The sequence below is a fragment of the Homo sapiens genome, chromosome 12, assembly GCF_000001405.40.
Source record: "Homo sapiens chromosome 12, GRCh38.p14 Primary Assembly".
In the NCBI taxonomy this organism is placed as follows: domain Eukaryota; kingdom Metazoa; phylum Chordata; class Mammalia; order Primates; family Hominidae; genus Homo; species Homo sapiens.
The window spans coordinates 53,150,129-53,155,401 of record NC_000012.12 but is presented as its reverse complement, the minus strand read 5'-3'; the positions used below and the strand labels follow the sequence as shown (position 1 = coordinate 53,155,401).

Here is a 5,273-nt window from a genome sequence, read left to right as displayed (position 1 = left end):
ATGAGCTCCGGGAACTAGTTGCCTTCTCTCAGTTATACAACATTTTTTTTTTTTTTTTGAGTTGGAGTCTCGCTCTGTCGCCCAGGCTGGAGTGCAGTGGCGCGATCTCGGCTCACTGCAAGCTCTGCCTCCCGGGTTCACGCCATTCTCCTGCCTCAGCCTCCCGAGTAGCTGGGACTACAGGCGCCTGCCACCACGCCCGGCTAATTTTTTTGTATTTTTAGTAGAGAGGGGGTTTCACCATGTTAGCCAGGATGGTCTCGATCTCCTGACCTCGTGATCCGCCTACCTCAGCCTCCTACATAAAATAGAGACAGGGTCTGGCTATGTTGCCCAGGCTGGTCTCAAACTCCTGGGCTCAAAGCAACCTTCCAGCCTCAACCTTCCAAAGGGCCAGGATTCTAGGCAGAGCCGCCACACCCAGCCAGTCACACAACTTGTAAGTGGTGGAGTCAGAAACTAAACTCAGACCATCTTATTCTGGTTCTTAACCATGGATCTGACCGGCTTCTGTTGACAGGTATATCTAATTCATAGGTGTGTCCGTTAGGACCGTACACCTTAATAGCCTTAGTAGCCTAACCTTAATAGCATAAATTATTAACCATGTGCTGTGGATCTACTACTTGCAGGAAGGTTGAGGCCATTTCCAGGTTTAGTCACCCATCTTGCCCTTGGCCTGGGGAAATGATATTTCCCTCAAATAGGAAAATAAAGGCATTGGAAACGCCTGAGTGGGTTGCAATGTTAGAGTGTTTTGTTTTGTTTTGTTTTTGCCTCAAAAAGTGACATTTATTCAAAGAAAAAAATGACAAGATGTCCATCCCTTGGCTCCCTTCCCTCCCCACTCCTGCTGCTCCTCAGCCCCCCGAGATAGAGCCCTGGCTGGGGCTGGGTGGCAGGACAGCCCCTCAGATGAGGTCAGCAACATTGAGGGGCATTTCCTCAATGGAGGAGTTGTAGAAGATCTCGATGTCTCGAAGAGTCCTCTTGTCTTCTTCTGTCACCACGTTAATAGCCACACCTTTACGGCCAAACCGTCCACCTCGACCGATTCTATGGATATGGTTTTCCCTGTTGGTGGGAAGGTCATAGTTGGTGACTAAAGAAACCTGTTGCACATCAATGCCTCTGGCCAGCAGGTCAGTGGTAATCAAAACTGCTAGAGCCATAACGAAACTCCCTCAAGATCACGTCTTGTTCGTTTTGGTCCATATCTCCACGAATGGTGAAGACAGTGAAATCTCGAGCATGCATCTTCTCGGTGAGCCAGTCCACCTTCCTCCGGGTGTTGATGAAGATGACTGCCTGGGGTGATGGTCAGGGTTTCATACAAGTCACATAGTGTGTCCAGCTTCCACTCCTCTCGTTCCAAATTGATGTAGAATTGGCGGATACCCTCCAAGGTCAACACTTCCTTCGTGACAAGAATCCGAATGAGGTCCCTCATGAACTTCTTGGTCACCTCAAGCACATCAGAAGGCATCGCAGCTGACAGCAAAACTACCTGGGTGTTGCTGTTGAGCTTTTGGAATATGTCATAGATCTGGTCCTTGAATCCACGGCTTAACATTTCGTCAGCTTCGTCCAGTACAAACATCTTGATGTATTTGGGAGACAGGTATCTCCCGTTAAGCATATCAAACACATGGCCAGGGGTACCCACAATGATGTGAGGAGCTTCGTCTGCAGTTTCTGCACCTCAGCACGCATGTTGGTGCCCCTGATACAGGCATGACAGGAGGCACCCATGTAGTCTCCTAGTGCCATGACCACCTTCTGTATCTGCTGAGCCAATTCTTGAGTGGGTGCTAGGAGCAAGGCCTGGGTGGCTTTTAGATCTAATTCAATCTGCTGCAGAATCAATATGGCAAATGTGGCCATTTTCCCAGCCCCAGATTGGGCTTGAGCAATCACGTGATAACCCTTGATACAAGGTAGAATGGCTCGCTGCTGGATGGCAGACGGCTTCTCTAAACCATAGGCGTAGATGCCACGGAGAAGGGACTCTGAGAGGTTCATGTCATCAAAGCTGTCAACAATCTCATTCCAGTTACTCTCAATGACACCTTTGGGCTCCATCCCATTGGGGCCGTTGTCTCTGGATCAGGAATCCTGGCTCGCAGACATGATCCTTAGAAACTCTAGAATAGTTTTTTGTTGGCATTTGGTTTTGGTTTTGGTTTCGGTAAGAGCAAAAGGAATCAAAGTATCCTAGTCTCTAGGATCCAGGGACCAGCCTCCCCTTGACTGGGGAAGGAAGATGTTGCCCTTCACAGGGAGGAAGGCCGGGACCTGGGAAGGTCAGAAGCTGGATGGGGTACCTATGATGTCATAGCAGCTCTCTGAGGTTGAGAGTAAGAGCCCTTTTAAGAAAGTAGATAAATCCCAGCTACTCGGGAGGCTAAGGTAGGAGAATCGCTTGAACCTGGGAGGTGGAGGTTGTGGTGAGCCGAGATCGTGCCATTGCACCCCAGTCTGGGCAACAAGTGCGAAACTCTGTCTAAAAAAAAAAAAAGTAGATAAAAGAGAACAAGCTAAAGTCAGAATTCAACTGGCCACTTGGAACTGTCCTTATACACCCTAGTCCTCATTTGACTGTTTCTCTTCTGTTTATGTGCCTTTTAAAAACCTTTTTTATAGCATCCTTCAATAACTCAACTGGTACAGCAGAGGACTATAGTCAAAACCTTTTTATTCTGAAATAATTTCAAACTTATAGAAAAGTTGCATTCTTGTCATTATTCTTAGTTACAGAGACCTCCTATATATTCTTTACCCAGATTTATCCATTTCTCACATTTTGACAAATTTGCTTTGTCATTCTCTCTCTAAATGCATTATACTCATTTTTTTCTGAATCATGTGAGAGTCAGTGCATATATTATGACCCTTTATCTCTTAATACTATAATGCATATTTCTCAACAACAAGAATATTCTCTTAAATAATCATGGTACATGTTTAGACAGGTGTGGTGGTGCATGCCTGTAATCCCAGCTACTTGGGAGGCTGAGGCAGGAGAATCACTTGAACCCTGGAAGCGGAGGTTGCAGTGAGCTGAGATCATGCCACTGCACTCCAGCCTGGGCGACAGAGTGAGACTCCGTCTCAAAAAAAAAAAAAAAAAAAAATCATGGTACAGGCTAGGCAAGGTGGCTCACACTTGCAACCCCAACGCTTTGAGAGGCTGACGTGGGTCAAGGTATCCCTTGACTCCAGGAGTTCAAAATAAGCCTGGACAACACAGCAAGATCCTGTTTCTATAAAAAAAATAATAAATAAGTTAGCCCAGCATGGTGGCATGCTCCTATAGTCCCAGCTGCTCTGGAGGCTGAGGTGGGAGGATTGCTTGAACGTAGGAGTTTGAAGCTGCAGTGAGCTATGATTGAGCCACTGCACTCCATCCTGGGCAACAGAGCAAGACCCTGTCTCTATAATTAACAAAATGTATATCATGGTACAATGATCAAATACAGGAAATTTAACATTGGCACTATAAAATTCATATTCCACCATTGTCAACTGTCCCAATAACACCCTTGATAGCACTCCTCCCTCCAGTACAAGGCCCAGTTCAGGAGCATGGATTGCATTTTGTTGTCATGCTCTTTGTCTCCTTTGATCTAAAATAGTTCCTCAGCCTTTCTTTGTCATTAATGACACTGGCATTAAAAAGAAATACAGGCCAGCTATTTTATAGAATGTTCATCAATTTGTGTTTTCCTGGTGTTTTCTCATGACCGAGTTTAGGTTATGCATCTGACCTGAAATATGACATAAATTGTGTTGTGTTCTTTTAAGGGGAAGCCCTACCCAAGCCCTACAATGTCTACCTGCTCCTTACTGGTGATGTTAATTTAATCAATGTCAAACTTGCTCATGATGTTGTCTGGTTTCTCCATGATATATAGTTACTATTTTGTAACTTGTGAACTTGTAACAATTTGTAAACAATCTGTGGGGAGACACTTTGAGATCATGCAAATAACCCTGCCCAGCTTCATACTTTCCCCACCTAGATTTAGTATTGAGGTAGGAAGCGGGACTTGATTCCACAGGCAGGGCTTGGACACTGGACCAAATTGAAGACTAGCTAAAACAGGAATGGGGCGGAAGCAGCTTTCCATAAGACACACACCCACAAGTGTGCCATCGCCATGGCAATACCTAGGAGTTACCACCCTTTTCCATGGTGATGACCCGATGACCCAAAAGTTACTACCAATTCTCTAGAAATTTCTGCATAAACCACTCCTTAATCTACTTGTAATTAAAAGGAGGTGTAAATATGACCTCTAAACTGCCCTAAGCGGCTACTGTCAGCACACTGCCGATGGGGTAGCCCTGCTCTGCAGAGCAGTCACAGAGCTGTAACACTGCCACTTCAATAAGGCTGTTTTCTTCTACCCTACCACCAGCTTGCCCTCTTTCCTGGGTGAAGCCACAGACCCTCATGGGCTAAGCCCTACTATGGGGCTTGCCTGCCCTGCATCAGTATCCATTCATGATTTTACCCTAGCCAATTGTTTGTTTGTTTGTTTATTGAGACAGAGTCTCGCTCTGTCACCAAGGCGGGAGTGCAGTGGTGCAGTCTCGGCTCACTGTAACCTCTGACTCCCGGGCTCAAGTGATTCTCCTGCTTCAGCTTCCTGAGTAGCTGGGACTACAGGCATATGACACCACGCCCGGCTAATTTTTTTTTTTTTTTAATTTTTAGTAGACATGGGGTTTCACCATATTGGCCAGGCTGGTCTCGAACTCTTGATCTCAAGTCATCCACCCACCTTAGCCTCCCAAAGTGCTGGGATTACAGGTGTGAGCCACTGCACCTGGCCCCTAGCCAGTTTTTATCATATTGGTTGCACAATGTTGATTTTCTAACTCCAGCATTCCCTCCATTTTTGTCATTTGGCATTAGACTATAAAAAAGAGCCCTCCCCACTCCTTTTTCATTCATGTGTATTATCAATATGGACTTTGGTTTTATTCAATAGATTATAATTAATTTCAGTTCTTATTTTAATGCTCAAATTATTCCAGTTTTGACCGGAGGGAGCCCCTTTAATTTGGCTTCCATGTCCTTTAAAAAATTTGTGTGTGTGTGTGTGTGTGTGTGTGTGTGTGAAGACAGGATCTCACTATGTTGCCCAGGCCAGTCTCCAACTCCTGGCCTTAAGTGATCCTCCCACCTTGGCCTCCTGAAGTGCTGCGACTACAGACATGAGTCACCCGGCACTTCCATGTCTTTTGACATTACTTTTTTTCTTTTT

The 5,273-nt window shown here is 45.6% G+C and overlaps 1 pseudogene; it reads right to left on the bottom strand.

Annotated features, from left to right (window-relative positions):
• Positions 772–2,144, bottom strand: EIF4A1P4 (eukaryotic translation initiation factor 4A1 pseudogene 4; annotated as a pseudogene).